General features: G+C 40.4%; 1 protein-coding gene across 5 annotated transcripts in view, besides 1 other annotated feature; it reads left to right on the top strand.

The window, feature by feature from the left end:
- The window catches only part of AGBL1 (AGBL carboxypeptidase 1), a 951,857-nt gene that overhangs the window by 526,863 nt on the left and 404,820 nt on the right, over positions 1 to 20,174 (top strand). The gene's annotated exons all lie outside the window — the stretch shown is intronic.
- Positions 5,288 to 5,789: an enhancer, noted in NCBI's record as "NANOG hESC enhancer chr15:87155001-87155502 (GRCh37/hg19 assembly coordinates)". NCBI's record gives its function as "activates a minimal SCP1, AML or CMV promoter by ChIP-STARR-seq in primed H9 embryonic stem cells {active_cell/tissue: H9 hESC(primed)}" and the evidence as "EXISTENCE:reporter gene assay evidence [ECO:0000049][PMID:30033119]".

The raw sequence follows: 20,174 nt of genomic DNA on the forward strand, positions 1-20,174 counted from the left end.
CACCTGATAATTGTTGAACAACTCACCATTAAATAGAATTTAATCTGCTTTTGTTCTGAAATCTTGTTAAGAATAAAGTGAGAGTAAAATGGTGTTTAGAGACAAGACACAGAACCAGACCCTACTCCTCCTCTCTTGAACTCTGTGAAATTAGCATGCTTTGATTAAAGATAATTAACAGGCTTTTTTGGGAGCAGGTTTAGATTTATAGAAAAATTGAACAGAAAGTAGAGGGTTCTCATATATCCCCTTTCTCTCCTCCCAGCTTCCCCTATTATTAACATTTTGCATAAGTGTCGTACATTTGTAACAATGGATAAGCCAATATCTGTATTACTAACCAAAGTCCATAGTTTACATTAGGATCATTCTTTGTGTTGTTCATTCCAATGGTTTTGACAAATGTATAATTACATGTATCCTATGTTGTAGTGTCATATAGAGTCGTTTTACTGCCTTAAAGATCCCCTGTGCTTCCCCTACTCATCCTTCCTTCTTTCCCTTGGTGGAAATTACTGAATTTTAAAAACTCTCTCCATAGTTTTGCCATTTCCAGAATGTCATATAGTTGGAATGATACAGTATGAAGCCTTTTCAGATTGGCTTCTTTCACTTAGCAATATATATTTAAAGTTCCTCCATTTCTTTTTATGGCTTGATAGCTGACTTGTTTTTCACACTACACATTCCATTATCTGGAGGTACCACAGTGTATGTATCCATTCACTTAGTGAAGGACACTTTGATTGCTTCCAAGCTTTAGCTATCATGAATCAGGTGCATCTGGGGATTGGAAGCCAATTGGGGTTTCTATTTCAAGCCCTTTTTACTTTCCAAATCTTTGATGTGCTTGGTTCATTCTCTTGAATGAACCTCCTCTTGAATGAATGCTTTAAACATTTGTGAGCAGGTTTTTGTGTGGACATACAATTTCAACTCATTTGGGTAAATGGCAAGGAATGGGATTACTGTATCCTATGGTAAGAGTATGTTTGATTTTGTAGGAAACCACCAAACTGTCTTTCAAAGTGGCTGTGGCATTTTGCATTCCCAGCAGCAATGAGTGAGAGTTCCCTCTACGCCATATCCTTACCAGCATTTGGTGTTTTATATTTTGGCCATTTTACTGGGTGTGTAGTGGTATCTCACTGTTGCTTGAGTTGTAATTCCCTAATGACTTACTATGTTGAACATCTTTTTGTAAGCCTTTTTGACATGTATATATCTTTTTTAGTGAGGTGCCTGTTCAGGTCATTTGCCCTTTTAAAAATTGGGTTATTTTCTTATTGTTGAGTTTTAAGATGTGCTTTGCTTTTTTGATTTCTGATGTCTCAAGGGGAATGTGCTATAGAGGAACAACTGTTATGCAAATTTTGTGTTTCTCAAGCTGGGGTAAGGAAAGTCTAGGCAGGCAGTGCATGGACATATTGTCAAAGGTTTATGAATTATTATTTTATTTGAGATGATATCTATAAACCATAAGAGAAACATGTATTGCTAAGCTGGAGGACCACTTTGAAACCAAGTCTTATCTTCTTTCTGCGCCTGCATTTTCATTAGTATTTACAAGTGCTTTAACACCAAGTAATGACACAACAGTGACATCATTTGTTTTTAATGCAGTATTTTTAAAACCAGTATTTTATAATCCTGCTAGTATGTGGATATATTATCTGAGATCCAGAACAGCTTTATCCCTTTCTCATCCTGCAGTTCAGGTGTTTCTGGAGAGAAACACCAGAAATATCACTACAAGGTTTTGGTCACAAACTACAATAATCTCTACTATGTTAGGGCAAGACTTTCTTTGCCTTGGTTAGACACAGGCTCGAGCTAGAACCAAAGCAGAGAAGAGGGACTGCTCTTTGTCCTTTTCCCCAAATTCACTTTCCAATCTTAGATTTTTAAAGTAGGGGAATGCAAGAGCAAGCAAGAATATTTGCCTAAACACAACGTTCTTTTTTCTCTGTTGATAAGACACTATGCAGAGAAATGTGGCTCAAACTGAATAGCCTTGCAACCTTCTCACTGAAAAGTAAAATGCTTGGGTCCTGAGAGGCATAAAGTGGTAGAGGCAAAGCAAAGGAGGCCTTGAACTGCCTTCCCTGAGAGACCACTATATACGACATGATGCTGAGCTGCAGGATTCACCAGCAGAGACCTGGCAGGTATCCAGGCAGGATGACGGCAGCATACCGGAGAACTCTGCCCATTGAAAAGAACAGCTGCTATTCAGTGTCAGTCAGTTGCTGCATACCAAAATGTGGGCTCAAGTCAGATCTTCTGATTTTTCAAGGGAAGCTGGAAATCTGAATTTAATGTAAAATCTCCTAATTTTCAAATGTTGGCAATGAGTTTGGACCCTGTGAGCATCATGAAACATATCTATAAATGAGATCTGGCCTATCACAGGGCTTCCAAGTTGGTGATTTTTGCTCCAGTTGGGTTTGCATCGCTAGTGACTTGCTGACAAGAAACTGCATCTTGGCAAACACAAGGTGGCTATGTGGAATATGACACGGGAAGCACACTTTGCATAATTTTAAAGTACGTGACTTTTTTGCTTCCAAACATATTTAGCTAAACTGTGCGGGTTGGCTCTTGTGAATGCATATTACACTCCCTTTCTACCTGCTGTCTGATCCAACCCACACAAACCCAGACAGAGAGATACATCCTTGAAGGTGTTACTGCCTGTATATGGATAAAGATTGAGGAAACCAGCCTTCCTCTTGAGGAGTACTAGATCTCAGGCTCTGCAAAGTAGGAAGAGATGGAAAGAGAACACACACAAGAAAATCAGAAAGGAGGAGGAATTCAGACCAGAAATCCTAGGAAGCAGAAGTTGCTAGGTTGCTGAGACTCAAAGGTCACCAGCCATCAAATGATGTTTCAGATACCAAAGCTGAGAATCACAGCTGAGGGCAGAGAAGTCTGGTGCCTGGGCTGATGCACACTTCATTTACTGCTTTCTATATCAGTAGCTGTGGTAGGGAGTATTGGCACCTGTGGGGTAGGGTATGTGTAGTTCTAGGAGTTAATTTGTGTTGACCTATTCTTGGGTTTAATACCGTTTTAGTCGATCCAGGTTATAGAACTCAATCATAGGACACATTGCATTGTCTCCCCCAAACACCTCATTCTCGTGAAAACTTCTTGTTAAAAAATCCATTTATTCTAACAAATAACTTGGCATAACAAACAGAGGTCATGTGAGAATTGTTACAATAGCCAGGTGAACAATGCATGCTTTCTCAAAAAGTTAGGGGGGAAAAAGATTTGTAAACGACATACTCTTGTAGGAAAAACAAAGCAAAGCAAAACAACCCAGGTACTCATAACAATTCATCCAGATTTCCCTCGACTACTTATTAAATGCCAACCATATGCTGGGGTTTTGTGTTCTGTTTAACAGACCCTATCTCAAATTTTTATCTTAACTTTAATTGTGCCCATTTTATGGATGAGGCCATGCTTCTGTGAACACACCACTTGTGCAAGTTCACAGATCAAATAAGTAGCAGAGCTATGCATCCAAAAAGACTACATGTCCCCCCCATCTCCACCAATGGAACATCAAACTTTTAATGTCTCTTAGGGGCAAAAACATTGTTTTCTATTAGGGATTTAATTTGACTACCGGTTTAAAAAGGTGATCTCCTCTTTCTGTAGCATAATACATTCAATGGAAGATAGTCATTTCGTCTCTTTTGACATGACAGCACTGTGGTTGTGATATATGTGGATAGTTGAATGTCACTACCACCATACTGTTGGGTTAATGCCAAACCTCCAACACAGCAGACTGAGAAAGAGAAAAACTTAGTCAACCCAGTGGTTCTTTGGTCCACATAATAGTAAACAAAAGTTTAAGATTAAGCAACATCAAATACTTCAAGAAAAATTAAAATTTTTAGCATGTGATGATGGATTTGAAATGCTTACCTGGGGCCCTTAGTTGTGAAGAGACACTTTCTTGGATGTGAATGTGGAATGTACTTTGGGCGACAGCTAAAAAAGTCAGCCTGGGGCTGCTCACTGTTCTGCCCCAGGGAGAAACAGATAAACAAAGGAGTTCCCTAGACTAACTAGATAATACAGTTTAGAGTTTAAAATGGGAAACAACCAAATCCAAATTATTTCCCGCAAATCTATGGGGAAGAATAAAAGGAATGTTTCTGATTTAGACTTTGAATGCAAAAACTCTGCTTCATACTTTGTTGAGACGTTCCAAGGTAGGTCCAAAATCAGTACTTAACTTCGCTTCCCTAATCACATGTTTTGCTTCCCTAATCACGTATTTTTTTTTCCTTCTGTGTTTCCCACCACTTTCTTGCCTTTTGTCTTTCATAAAGTATTTGTAGAGGTCGTGATATTCACACTGTCCTGTGCTCTGGATCAGTGGTTCTCAAAGTCTGCTCCCTGAACTTGCAGCTTCATTGTCACCTGGGAAATGTTAAAAGTGAAAATTCTCAGATCCACTTCAGACCTGCTGAATCAGAAACTCAGGAGTGGGATCTGGGAATCTGTGTCTTAACAAGACCTCCAGATGATCCTGATGTGAGGTCAAGATTGAAATTGTGACTAAACTAGACTGCAAAATTGAACAGGACTTGTATCTTGTATCTGCTCTTGGTAGCTTGCAATTTGATAATGGGCACTGCATTAAATTATTAGTTTATGATAAACTATATGATATAGGTATGCTCAGGGTGTGTGGATGAACAAAGAAAGAGCAACAAAATAAAAATCAATGTTTTAGAGGAACTTCTGTGACACTTTAAATTCAGCAACTTTTTATTGTCTAAAGAGTGTCACCAATATATTTGCATATTTGCGATGTGCAGCCATCTTAAATTAGCAGACACCCCAACCACTGGTGATCCATAACACCAAACCAGGAGGAAATCAAATTTAATTTTGAGAATTTTTCAATATAGATGATGTGAAACATCCCTTTAATGTTTTTGTCTGCAGAGTCATTCAGTTTTTCTGGGGCCTAGAATTTGAACTCAACCCCAAATCAGGAGAAAGACTTAGAGGGAGGAATATTCACCAATCCCAGGAAGAAAGAGTTAATGTCAGATCCTACAAGGTGAATTGCATCCTGTTGCAATTTACAACAGGATGTGGAAATCTTTGCTGATTTATTGCAGCCTTTTCTGTCAAGGTATTTTTTCCCCCTTGGTAATCTAATCAGAAAGACAACGTACATTTCTGTGGGATTTTTTAAAGCATGATACTCACAGGCAACAGAGGCCAGAGAAGAGGTTCATATTAGAAGAACAAGCCTATTTGTAAGATACTGTGAAAGCAGCAGCTACATGAAAAAACCTCAGAGGCGGAAGTTTACTGTAAACTCAGGGTGAGTCAACAGAACCACAAGACTGCCAAGAAAGTTAATTTGATCTTACCCTGCATGCACAAGTGGCTGGTATTTAAAATGGGGGCAGGCTGTGAGTGTTCTGCTCAGTAGAGGTCAGAACACACCTGGAGTATTGCCTTTTGTTTTGAGCCCAGTTCAAAGGAATTTAACAAATAAACCCCAAATTTCCAACCCAAATCAGACTCTAGCTTCTCTACTTAGTAATTGTGAGGGAAAGAGAGAACCATCACCCTCAGCTGGAGATAAAACCTCCATAGTGCTCTTCACTTTTTGGGAGATTGTAGGGGGAAGAGGAAGGATGAGACCCTAAGAGATCTGCCTTTGACCAGCAGCAGGATGCATCACCTCCATGAGTCTTTGAATATGCAAATAGAAGCCCCTGAAGGGTAGCACAATATGCCACCCCAAAATATGCTAGCCACTTTTGCCTAAGGATAATTTTGAGCTAAAGGCATATTAACAAAAAATAAAATTCTAAGCTCCTGAATAAACTTAGGCTGAATGGGCCCTGCCTTGGCCAAGGGGATTCCAAAAAAACCTGAAGAACTAGTTCAGGCCATGATGGGGTCGGGGGAGGGGAAGGATGGGGGTCTGACATGCCTCATCACACCCTCCTCCCTTCGGAGTTTAGACAACAGTGACCGGCATTAAAACAGAGATCTTAAGACTGACAAAACAGACTCATTATAGCAAGAAAATACCGAATTCCAACCTGACTCTCGTACAGCATCACAGGACAGCAGGCCCTGAAGGAAATGAAAGTATTTTACACCCAAATATATTTCTTTGACGTATTTTGAAATGGCCCTGCAAAGCTGTCTCTTGTGGGGAAAATTTGCACTCGGTAGAGAACCTTCTTTCTTACTAGGTCTTTTCCAGAGTGTCTGACACCTTTTAAGTTTCAATAAGAGAATTTTACCATCCATTCTCTCTGAAGCCGGCTGGCCTGAAGGCTTTATCTACATGACAAGAACCTTGGCTTCTGCAATATCCCTCTCCCCTTAACTGACCTTAACTCAAGCTGATTTCAATTCTTTCGACCAATTGACAATCAGGAAATCTTTGACTCCACCTATGATCTGGAAGCTTCCCTGCTTCAAGATGTCTTGCCTTTCCAGGCCAAACCAATGTATACCTTACATATAATGATTCATGTCTTTGTCTGTAACTTTTGTCTCCCTAAAATGTATAAAGCCAAGATGTAACACAATCACTTTGGGCACATGTTCTCAGGACCACCTGAGGCTGTGTTACAGGCCATGGTTCTTAACCGTGGCAAAATAAATCTCTAAATTGATTAAGACTTGTCTCAGATACTTTTTGGTTTACAGGTACCTTAAAGAAGAAAACAAATTAAAGCAGGAATCGGAGCGAGAGGTTTGTTGGTTTTGGAACGTAAGATCCCAAACCATTGGAGAACTGCAGCATGGTGAAGGCAGTCGAGGTCCCATGAACTTGTAGGTGACTTTAGCTGGATCTAATGGGGCAGTAGGACACCGGTTGGTGCGTGGACAGTTAGTGGGTGAGAAGACAGTGTCTGGCATGTTCAAAGCTGCTTAGCCAGATGAGTGGCAGGAGGAGCTGTGGGCATTTAGCTCAGACAGAGAAGGCTTGCTGTGAAGTACTTAAAGGCTGCCATGTGAAAGAGAGATTAGGATTATTCAGTGTGTTTATAAGAGCTAGAACTAGGAATTGTAAAGTAGGAAATTACCTGAGCCAGATTTCAGATCACAGAAAGTAAGTCACGAGTACTTACCAGCTACCTAAAGAAGGCATGACGTTTCCCAGAAAGAGGGCATTTTCTATTGAGGGATGAAAACAAATGTTGGTTAAAGCCCAAGCTCTGCTACTCCAAGTAGGATCTTCAGAACAGCATCATCTCCATCACCAGGGAGCTTGTTAGAAATGCAGAATTTCAGACCCCATCCCAGACCTACTGAATTAGAATATGTAGCATAGTAAGATTCTTGAGTGATCTATATGCATGTTAATGTTTGAGAAGTCCTGAGTGAAAAGACCAATCTCTAGGGATGTTATTCAAAGTAGTTCAAATAATTAATGGATAGGTGGATTCCTTTCCATCTCCTAAGGGAGGTGGGGTAATGTGCTGCTGCAAACTTTGTACGGTAAGGGAAGAAACTTATCCCGCTGAGTTGTTGGTTTTAATAAAAATAAATCCTAAGAACAGAAGAATGTGCAACCCAGAACTAGTTAGCTGGCTCTGGATAATAGAAGATTCTATCTGTTTTAACTGTAAGCATCTATTACACTCTGCCAGGCACTGGGAATAAAACAAAATGAATAATATATGCATCGAGCTCTATGTATTAAACTGTTATACTCTGCCCCTAATGGTTGAAATCATTTACTGACCCTGGGGCTCTTGCCTTAATTTCTGGATGAATTTAGCTCATCCTTATTGTCACTTTCTTCCAGCCCTGCTCTTTTCTTAATTCTTGATAATATTGCTGTTCACATGAATACCCAATACCTGGAATACTCCACCTTGTTCTATTGTTTTCTTAGTATTTAGCACCTTCAAGCACTTTTATAAATTATTTTCTTATTTAGCATTTGTGTGGTCTGCTTTTCTTTCACTAGAATTACATGTTTCATTAGTAAGAAGATTTAGGTATGGTGGTACCCTGATGGAATACTGATAAAACAGGTTTGAAATGAGCTTTGATTTGTAGTGTTTGCCAATCCCTCTGGTGTAAATATTCCTGTCATGGCCAGTTTGAAGCTACTGTTACTACATCACTGAATGTGATGTTAGGAAAAATGTGCACAATTGACTCTTGTGAGCTGGCCTGAGCAGCTTCCATCACACAGTTGGTCCCTAGAACAGTGTTATTTAGAACAGTGTCAACTCCAAGTAAGTGCTCAAAAGATATTTTTTCATTTACTTAATGAAGGAATGAAGTGGAAAAAACCAGATTGTCATATAATCTACTGATCGTAAGAAGAAAGTGTTGTGTAGACAAAGAGAAGAGACAATTAACAGTAACTTTATGGCCTATTGGAGGCTTCTTTCTGAAGGTGACAACCAAACTGGGTGTGGAGTTGACCAGGCAGTGAAGGTAGTTTATAGAGAATGAGCAAAGTTGTTCTAAGATGAGCAAAGAAAACTAGAATGGTGAGAGTTCATGGCAGGGCAATTTGGATAAAGTAATTAGGATACCAAAAGGATGGGCCTTTAGAAAAGGTTAGGACTAGAATGTCAAATGTCTTGAGTGACACATTAAGCAGCATGTTGAGGGTGATGGAGAGTCACTGAAGAAATCTAAAAATGAGAGTAATTCTAGCAGATTTGCCTTCCAGATGCCTCTGCCAGCAATGCGGGAGATTAATTCTAGCATTGGAAGTAGAGTAGAGGGCCAGGGAGACTAAAAACAGACTATTGACTAAAAACCAGCCTAGGAAAAGATGTGATGAGGGACTGTGGTAAAGACTAGAGTGGAGGAATGGGATATGGGAACACATCTGAGAGCTCTTCAGGAGTAGGTTTGATGCAGGTGGTGTCCAGTGGGATCTGGGGTAAGGAGGAAGAAGGTAAGATGATTATGAGATTATTTGATGGTTACTGTGGCTTTAACTAAAATAGGCAACACAAATTGCAGGAACAGATGTAGAGGAAATGAAAAATATTCCTTGTGCTATGCTGAACCTGAGAAGGCCACACGCCATCCCGGTGGAGATGGCACAGTGGAGAAGGCAATAAACCTTCCATGGACTTTGAGGCAATCTAATCTGAGTGTAACAGAGCACTGAGGCTCCGGTTCACCTCTGGACAGCTGGCATGGGTGCAAAGACATTGATTGACATGTTAAGAAGATTCAAAACTACTCAAAGCCACAGAGTTAGAAATGTGAGTTTTATATTGTGGACAGAGGTTAAAAAATAGATTTAAAAGTCAACAACATATATAAAAGTTCTGGAAGCAGATGGAAACTCAGGGAAAGACTGTTGTAAAATGAAAAATTAATTAATAGGGATGACAGTGTTGGGGTTATACATACATTGATAGGGGGCATCAATATAAGAAAAGATGTCAACAGGAAATAAAAAAAAAATACTCCCACGGAAGTGGAAGGTAAACCACAGAAGAAAAGAGTTTCAGGAGGTTGGGGCAGGGAGATTAAGCTGATTAGGATAGCAATTGTCACAATACAATAAAATGAAGATGGGCCAGGAGTATTGGCTCACCCCTGTAATCCCAGCGCTTTGGGAGGCTGAGGCAAGTGGATCACCTGAAGTCAGGAGTTTGAGACCAGCCTGGCCAACATGGTGAAATTCCGTCTCTACTAAAAGTACAGAAATTAGCTGGGCATTGAGGCAGGCACCTGTAATCTCAGCTACTCAGGAGGCTGAGGCAGGAGAATCGCTTGAACCCGGGAGGCAGAGGTAGCAATGAGCCGAGATAGCACCACTGCACTCCAGCCTGGGTGACAGAGCAAGACTCCTCCACTTCAAAAAAAAAAAAAAAAAAAAAAAAAAAAAAAAATGAAGATGGAAAACTTGTCGTTGGATTAGATTGGTGGTCATTGTATGATGTTACTATAGAGGTTGGACTGTACAAATTGCAGTGGGCAGGGTGATAAAATGGGAAAGGAGAAAAGAATGAGCAAGTAGAGGACACTGTCTTCAAAATGCCTGATCAATGGGTAAATATAGAACTAGACACCTCTTGTCTGATTTTGTTATTGATTTAACTTGCTGTTGACCCTGGCACAGCTTTATCCTATGCCTACATAATGTTGAGTCACTTGATGTTTCTATAGAGTCATAGATTTGGAAATATTGTTATACTTGGCTTCACTCAGACAAAATATTTGGTTGATTAATGAATTGTTACCAGTCACCTGTCACTTTGTCACATTTCAGACATATACTTCGCTTGTCCATCTCTACCCCTCAATTTCCTCCTCCTTTTGTAAATTATACTTCAATAAAGTTGACTCAAAAAGAAGAAAAGGAAAGAAACTGAAAGGGCTAGTCCTATGTCTTTAGCTCACAGTAAGTATTGTGAAAAGGGACTTTTGCTACTTCATCTATCTCTTCTGCTTCTTCTGTCACCAGGAGCGATTGCTTGCTGGTAGGGCAGGATTTGTGTTGTAATCCTTTACCATCACAAACATTATGATCCCATTTCCAGTTTAAATGTTATCTTGCCTCCTTTAACCTTCACTCTCTGCTCACATGTAAAAATCTATTCCTCAAGTCCCTTCTTAGCCTTAGCAAAGTACCTTTGGCCTGACTTCCCCTTTGATCTGTGATTTCTAATTGCATTCTATAAAGGGTCCTGCTTTTACACAATTTATTGACCCTTTGACAGGAATTTGGACTAGTGTCATTCGACAGAATTGATGTTTTCTGCAATCTGACGGCTGTTTGGATTTCAGAGTCGATAGCCAACAATAATATTCCTGTGACCTTTCAGAGTCACTGTTTTCTTCTGCTGTAAGGACTAGACACATGAGATTGGAAAGAACTGCCCAAACTGGCTTTCTTCCATTCAGTAGGAGAAATGATGCCTCTGACTAAAGTCAGAATGATTTACATTAAAAATATAAAACTCTCTAGTACAGAATTGAGCATGAAATTCCTCCTGTCTACTAATCAATTGTATGTATGTAAATATTCTGTAATTTATGATGAGTTCTGACAATTGGAGCTACAAGTGGTATTGTCAAATTTTCGTTCAATTGGTAAGAATATGGTATTGTCAAAACTGTGATCATAGGTATATTTTTTATTTTTAAATTAAAAAGCTTTTTCATTTCTTGGGCTGTGACATAAGTATATAATATACTAGGTAGACAGTATAAGATTGCTGTTTCATAGATCAGAAATGGTTAATAATGGCAATTCTGTGTGATTCAACTTTATGCGCACACACACACACACACACACACACACACACACAGCCAGCCAGAGCGAGAGAGAAAGAGATTTTTTCTTAAAATGCAAGTACTTCATAACAGAAGTTTGATACGAAAGTGTTGATTTGCCATTTCAAAAACAAAACATATTATTCCTATTGGGTCAATGATTATGCAATATTAGTGGAATAATATTAATTGAGGACTTCCTATGGGTAAAATATTTAATCATAACATTTCTATAAGGTAGAAACTGAGCAGGGCTTCCCACTATATTATACTTCTGCCTGAGATTTAACATTTCTCATGCATATCTTGGAAACTGAAGTCTTGATGGAATATTCATTAGAGGGGGCTAATTATAACCAACAAACAGAAATACTCTTTAATTCCAAACTATGCAGGATGCTACTAAGTTTGATATCAGAGAAGATAATTTAAATAAAGAAACAGGAGGCAAAAACCATGTCTGCCTAGTCTTGCCTTTAAACAACTGCAATTTTGTTTAAGAATTACTAACTTCTTGGTGCTATGGCAACTTATTTGCAAGCCATTAGGATGAGGCTAAGATGATTTAAAGACCTCTCCCCACTTTAGATGGGGCTCATTACATTCCTGATGACACCAGCAGGTCTATTAAGGTGATAAAGCAAACGGAGCTAAAATATCTTTCTCCAGGTTTCCTCCCAGGGCCACCCTCATCAGACTCATTTGGGGCTTTTATTAAAAATATAGATCTCTGGGCTCTAGCTCCAGACCTACTGAATGAGAATCCTTAGGGATGAGGCCTAGGGAATCTGCATTTAATTAGCTTTTCCAAATGCCTGGAATTTTGTTAGTGCTATGTAAATGAATATTTATGTCACATGTATAGTGCTAATAATTCTTAGGCATCTCAAATTTGAGAACTGCTAAACCAGAGAGTGTGGTAAGACATGCAGATTTATTTGATCCTAGACTCCCATCCTTACTGCACCAGAAAATGGGAAAGTGGATCATAGACTGATCTACTGAAATCTCTGGTAAAGACATGGAGTTTTTCTAAGATGCCCGTTTTGCCCTCCTCATTACAGACCCTCCGTGGATCCTGCTGTCTCAGGCACATCCCTATTTTGCTGGACCCTCTGGCGCTAACTCCTTCTCTTGGGATACAGGTTCTGCTCCTACTTTGTAGTTGCTTGTCCTCTCAGAATGCAGAAAAAATGTAGGCAGTAACTATCATTAGAGATCATTTAGGTTCTAAAAGATTTTTAAAAATGACTTTCAGTTCAGAAAATTTCGTAGGCCCTTCTGTAATGAGGACCCTCAGGGGTCTGTGGCCAGAGTGCTGAGGTTCAAACCTCTTTATTCACTCATTCATTTAAAAGCTAATATATATATATCAAGTGCCTGCTATGAATGAGGCACCATACTAGGCCCGAGAGATACTTATTATCAATTATAACGTCAAGCATATAATAAGTACTCAATATATCTTTTTTAATAGACGTGACACTGAACCTCCTACAATGCCTTTAATTTACCAGTGACCCATCTACACTTGGTGTGTGGCCTAAGGTCAAAGATCACTTACTAATGTGGAAGAGCCTTTTAAGATCTACCCCTGACTTCCACTTCTTCCCTTTCTCCATGCTTCTTTCTCTCTTTTAATGTCCTAAAACAAAATGAAAAGTTCAGTGGGAAATGATAAAGTTCAGATTTCATTAGCTTTTGATGTCACTTTTCCTTGGGGAGAAAAATCACATTTTTGGGTGACCTTTTTAGTTAATTCACAGCTGGGAGAAAATCACACTTAGTGTCTTTCCTGTTAAGAGGTAATTAGACGCTGCTGGTCAGTGCAGTCCTATGAGATGGGCTGTGCGGTGGGGGTGAACAGAAGCAAAATATTGCACTCATCCTTTTGGCCTCTGATTCCCAGCGCCTGGGCCACAGTGGCCATTAAAGGAACGAGATCAGTAAGTGACAACTCAGACTGTGACAAGCAGTGAAATAGAGGTACAATACCCGGGGCAGAGAGGGCTCACTGCAGACCTGGGATTTAGGGAAGGCCTCAGAAGAAGGAACATTTGAATTGAACCTTAAATAATATATGCTAAGCTTCAAAGGAACTGAAATGTACATGCACACGCAGAGAGAGTGGGCAAACTTGATTTCTACAAGAGTCTACTCCTGGATATTCCTATAACAGAGCTAAGTCACACTGCTGCTATCAGGACCCAGTCTTTCCTGCTGATGGGCTTTCCAGACTCACTAGTGTTAGCCACATAACTGTTCTTCCAGAAATGCTGGGTGAAGACGGATCTCAGAGTGTTTTTATTAAAACACTGTGGTCTCCAGTAATATCACTTATTTGTGAGTTTCCCCAGGTGGAAAGGGTCCACAAAATTGGTGGTGTCAGGTACGATTCCCATAAGTAGAAGATGAAAAGAAAGATCCATGAGGTCACATCCAGTCTGTCTCTGGAGGATCAGGGCAGGAGGATTCCGGGATGTGTTTATTTTCTAGCACTCTGTCCACCTCAGACTTACATGTTTACATTTATATAGCACCTTTCCTCAAAGGAAATGACTTCACTCGTGGAAAAGCGAAAGGTCATTTGAAATTTGAGTTACATAGAGAAGCAATAAACTTCACGCTGTCAGGAGGTTGCGCTGAGACTTTGTGAATGATCCTTTGTGGATTGCACCCCATCACTCCCACTTACCTGCTTGCCTGTGTGAGATTTTTGTATGCTATTCCACACTTGTCTGCATGCTGACCTCTCATCTCCCAGACAGCTCCTTTGGCTTCCCCAGTGACCTTAATTATCACCTCATCAAGAATACATATTTAGTGCTTTTAATCTGTCCCCAGAAATCAATCTATCCTCTGCATGCATTACTTTTGTTTAACCCTTTTATCAATTTCCTACCTTGCCCTGCTGCATTTCTACTTTCTGGTTTGAAGTGACTCAGAAATAATCTATCTTCTCATTAGAGCCTCGTAAAAAGGGACTTTGCAACCTGCCAGCTATGTGATTTTTCCACCTCTGAAAGTGAACTTTGAAATGATATTAGCTCCTTTTTTTTTTTCTATAGCATTGCATGACTGGTCTAAATCCGACTTGCCGCCTGCATGTCTCTCTTCACGGCTCTTTTTCAAGTCGCCTGCGTGCTTTGAATATTTCTCTTCAAAGGGAGGGGCTGCTCTTTCCCTCCAGTTAAATCTCTCTATTATTTTCTACTCTCATAGCTATTGCTGCTAAGTTCCTCTGCATCTCTCTTCTCCTCGCTTTCCTGGAATTTGCAACCCTTTCTATTTGGAGTCAGCTAAGAGTTTCTTTTGTGTGAGGTCTTCTTTGCACTTTGGCCATGAATATAAGTGATACTATGACCAAAGGTAACAACTGTGCTTGCAGATTTCATTTGGTTATAGGGCTGTGCTTTTACATCTTCCTTAATTGTTATAATATGTTGATCAAGGATGACTCCTCTGCTATAGAATTCAGGGAAGTGAACTGGGATAGTGAAATGAGTACAGGCTTTGGATTCAACAGATCCTGGTTCAAGTCCTTGCTCTGCCGTTACCAGCCCAAGATTTTGTGTTAGTAAAATAAAGATACTGTAACAAATTATTATAAACAGGATGGCTTGAAAGAAATTTATTGTCTCGCAGATCTGGAGGGCAGGAGTCCCATTCCACATTTCTTGCCTAGCTTCTGGTAGTTGCCAGCAATCTGTGGCATTCCTCGCCTTGTAGCTGCAACACTTCAATCTCTGCCTCCATCTTCACAGGGCCATCTTCTCAGTGTGTCTCTGTGTCTCTCCTCTTCTTGAAAGGATAATAGTCATTGGATCTTAGACTCACTAAAATCCAGTATATCTTGAGATCCTTAATTACATCTGAAAAGACCTTATGTCCAAATCAGCTCACATTTACAGGAACTGGGATTTAGGACTTGGAGATATCGTTTGGAAGGATACTATTCAATGCGATATAGCCTTAGTCAAGTTATTTATTCTCTCTCACACTCAGTTTCCAGAATGGTTGTTGAGAGAAATAAATCATAAAATGTTTAGAAAGCCTCTAGCATCATGGCAGGCATATAGTAAGTGATCAATGAATATTAATTCCCTTTTCCAAAATTTCTATTACTCCTTTGGTAGGACTTTTTAGAAAACAAATACAATCTTGTTTTACAGAGTAGGACATTTTTAGAGATCTAGCGTTACATCACTATATGCAATTAGAAACCAGCTTCCCTCTAAATAATTCATCTGCAAGACAAAGATGAAAACTTTGATAAGAAAGGGGTCAGCCAGGTGTAGTGGCTCATGCCTGTAATACTCGCAATTTGGGAGGCTGAGGCGGGCTGATCACCTGAGGTCAGGAGCTCGAGACCAGCCTGGCCAACATGGTGAAACGTTGTCTCTACTAAAAATACAAAAAAATTAGCTAAGCGTGGTGCTGGGCACCTGTAATCCCAGCTACTCAGGAGGCTGAGTCAGGAGAATCTCTTGAACCAGGAAGGCGGAGGTTGCAGTGAGCTGAGATGGCACCATTGCACTCCAACCTGGGTGACAAGACTGAGACTCCATCTCAAAAAAAAAAAAAAAGGGGGTAGGGGGTCCACACAAAAACCAGACAGGCCTATTTTTTTCAGTCTATAAATATTTACTGAGCAACTACTAAGTACTAAACACTGACCAAAAGAGACCAGTGACCAGTCATCATGGAAAGATATAAAATCGACAATAACACAAAACTATGAAATATAATTTCAAGTAATAGTAAATAAAATAGAGACAAATGAAACAGGATGAAAAGATGGAGCACTTTGAATGGCAGGAGAAATGATGACCTTTGGGAAGGTAACATTTAAGGCAAGTTCTGGATAAAGTGAGGGGTCATCCCATGCAAGGGACTGGGGGACACACGTTCTAGACCAGCAATCCTCAACCATTTTGGCACCAGGGACTGGTTTCACAGAGGACAATTTTTCCACAGACTACGGGTGGGGCATACTTTCAGGATGATTCAAGGGCACTGTTTACCGTGTACTTTATTTTTATTAATATTACATTGTAATATATTATGAAACAATTATACAACTCACCATAATGTAGAATCAGTGGGAGCCCTGAACTCATTTTCCTGTAACTAGACAGTCCCGTCTGGAGGTGATGAGAGACAGTGACAGATCATCAAGCATTAGATTCTCAAAAGGAGCATGCAGTGCAGCCTAGATCCCTCAAGTGCACAGTTCACAATAGGGTTCGCACGCCTATGAGAATCTAATGCCACCACTGATCTGACGGGAGATAGTGCTCCAGCAGTAATGCAAGCGATGGGAGGTGCCTGTAAATACAGATGAAGCTTCACTCTCTCACCCTCCACTTACCTCCTGCCTAACAGGCCATGCAGCGGTATCAGGTGGGGACCCCTGTTCTAGAGAGAAGGAATCGCAAGTGCAAAGCAGGACAGTCAGGGTGTGTAAGGCAGTGGGGTATGGGGACGGGTTTGGAGGAAGGCAGGAGCTCAATCATGTAGAGCCTGGTTGGCCAGGGTTGGGATGGGGCCATCATAAATGCTGGATGGGATCCAGTGTGGCTGGCAGAGCACAGGGTTTGAGGGCAACAGCTACTGCTAGCTGTGATTCAGAAGGGCAGTCTGCAGTGTGAATTGAGACCACTGTGGCTGGTTCTCCAGACACTGGTACAGCTGTCTAGGATATGCAGAACTTTTGCCTCGTTTTCCAACTCTAGGTTCTCTCTACTGCCATTCTCTTTGTTCACTACCCAAACTGTCCTCCAACCACAGGAATGTCACCAGCTCTGGATGCTTGTTCTTGCTCTCTTTATTTTATTTTTGTTATCTGATAGAAGCAGACAGTAATACTCTGAGATACTTCTAGGAACCAGTATATGACAAGAGATGCATTTCACCCTGTCAGTTCCTCCAGCACAAATGACATGATAGTGCTTTTCTAAATAATTTTGCAATAATTCGAAATCCTGTTCCTCCAACACAAATGACATGACAGTGATTTTCTAAATAATTTTACAATAATTCCAAATCCTGTTAAATCAGTGCATACACTTCTGTGGATTTTACTGTCTATTCACCTGAAATTAAATTCTGGTGGGCTTTGCTGCACAGTTCACCTAGAAGAGGCACAATTAGATGCAATCTCATTCTAGTCTGACACTGCTGTGCTAAATACTTTCATTAAAAACTATTTTCTCAAAGAATAAAAGCAAGCATAAAAAATAAAACTAGGGGCCTTTCCATAAGAGAAAGAATAGAGATTGAGAGGAATGGGAGGAAGGGATACTGAGTGAAGAAAAGCTAAACAAAAGCATGGAAAGTCAAAGAAGCACACACATGTGTGAATAGCATCATCTAATTGTCCTATAATGAATTGTCCTATGTCAGAGCATGCCTGTCAAATTCTTCTAAACTTCTCTAGGCAGGCTTAGAAAGGTAATAATATTCTAGTTCTCATTATTGGGAAGTCACAATCAAGAGCAAGTGAATTGAATGTTAAAAGTATGAGTCTAGCTGATATTGATAGATCAAATGTAATACAACAGCATGTGACACTTATTAGCCTTTTGGTCAAGCTATTGGGCATGGAACACATTCAACATGCAGTAACATTTATTGAGCACCTACAGTATACAGTGCCATGGTTTGAGTAAGGGCTCTGTGGAATGGAAGACATATCCTCTGTCCTCCAGAAGTGTTCAATATCGATTCTGAGTCATTTCCTGTGGCCTTCACTTTTTCAGTTCTTCATATCTACTTTCTTGGAAGGTATTCTCAATTAAGGCCCAAAAGGCTGCACATAAATTTAATTAAGGCTGGAAGTGGTGCTAGACAGTGGAGGAGCAGTGAGCCTGAGCTGCAGCCAAAAGGAGGAATAATCCACTAACTCAGGAGAGCACCCTTTCTTCCCCAGCAAATGCCCAGTGCACTCTTTATTAAGGGACACTGTGCTGTGATGAGCTGACCTGGCCACAGGGTGTCACAACTGCCCCAGGGACTCCTCTACAAACTCAGGAGGGAGACAAGGTCTGAAAGGTCAGACACCAGCAGCTTGTCGTTCCCTCTCCTGCCCACATTGCCAAGTGAGTCAGCCCTGAGTCAGCCCAGCTGCTCAAAAATCATCTAGAATGTCACGGCTGCCAGGGCCTGACAGAATGCCTTCAGAGCTGCTTACCAGGCTCTGTGTGGCTCTTGGTCTAACGGAGGGGATCGACATTTTGGCAGTGCCCGTGAGTGAGATGAAGGACTGGTGACAGCCCCACACCCACGCAGCACCGGCTCCCTCATAGACCTCCAGTCATTCGACCAGGTTTGTTCCTGGAAGGATCTGCATCATTTATTTGGAGAAGGACCAGGCAGGGGGTCAAGAGACAATGATTTTAGTGTCGGCTCTGCCTCCTTCAAGTTGGGGACCTTCAGCCACTGAATCCACAGAGATGGGCCTCAGTTTCCCAATCTGTAAAATGAAGGTGGATCCTTTCAACTTCTGAACATTAATGAAGGATTGGCCATGTCTTATTTGGTTAGACATTTCAATTACTTTCTCTTTTTTTGGCTCTGACAGCCTCCAAGGTAGAAGAAATTAGCGTTTTTTTTTTTTTGTTTTTGTTTTTTTTTTTTTTTACAAACACAGAAACTGAGGGCCTGTGAGACTAAAAGAAGGTAATCAAAAGAGAATACAGAGGAGACATTTTAATCCAGATCTGTCCAGATTAATCCCACTGTAATTGGGGTGTTCATTTACAAACTACACACAAATGTTTTGTGACTCCTGGGAACTGAGTTTCAGACATGATGAGATGAAAGACACAGAGAATATATTTGAATAAGTCTCATAAAAAGTAAATTCTGGATCTTTGGGATAGAAGCTAAGGGATATTTGTGAATCAAATGGTAGTAGCAAAATGGGTCAAGAATGGCAGGTAAAGGATAAACAGAAGAGAAACACATTTTAATAATACTCAACCAATATTTATTAAGTTTCTCCCCTGAAAAAGTTATTGTTCAGGGCAGCAAAAGACATGCAACCCTAGAGGCAGCTGAGAATCCAGCCATGCCAATATCCGAATGCAAATAAAAGCAAGAAAAAGCCAGGAAAAAGACAAGCAAAGTACTGCAGGATTCAATCAAGAATCGAATGAAGAAGCTGTATCCCATTGGTGGAACTTGGAAGGCACCAAGGAGAAAGTTTCAATTGAGTCATAAAGAATAGTAGAGTATCAACAGGTAATAACACAAAGGATGAGCTAGCTGGAAGAAAGAGATGCATGAACAGAAGTCAGGAAAAAAAGGGTTGCATTTGATTGTGGAAGACAGTGTAGCAATTCCTCAAAGTCCTAAAGACAGAAATACCGTTCGACCCAGCAATCCCATTACTGAGTATATACCCAAAGGAATATAAATCATTCTATCATATAGACACATGCATACGTGTGTTCATTGCAGCACTATTCACAATAGCAAAGACATGGAATCCACCTAAATGCCCATCAACGATAAACTGGATAAAGAAAATGTGGTATATATACACCATGGAATACCATGCAGCTGTGAAAAAGAACGAGACCATGTCCTTTGCAGGAACATGGATGGAGCTGGAGGTCATTATCCCTAGCAAACTAATGCGGTAACAGAGAACCAAACACAGCACGTTCTCACTTTAAGTAAGTGGGAGCTAAATAGTGAGAGCACATGAGAGGAACAGCACACACTGGGGCTTTTTGGAGGCTGCAAGGTGGGAGGAGGGAGAGGAGCAAGAAAAATAACTAATGGGTACTAGGCTTAATAGCTGGGTGACAAATAATCTGTACAACAAACCTTCATGACACAAGTTTACCTATGTAACAAACCTGCATGCATACCCCTGAACTTAAAACTTG

The sequence above is a fragment of the Homo sapiens genome, chromosome 15 (genome assembly GCF_000001405.40).
Source record: "Homo sapiens chromosome 15, GRCh38.p14 Primary Assembly".
Lineage (NCBI taxonomy): Eukaryota > Metazoa > Chordata > Mammalia > Primates > Hominidae > Homo > Homo sapiens.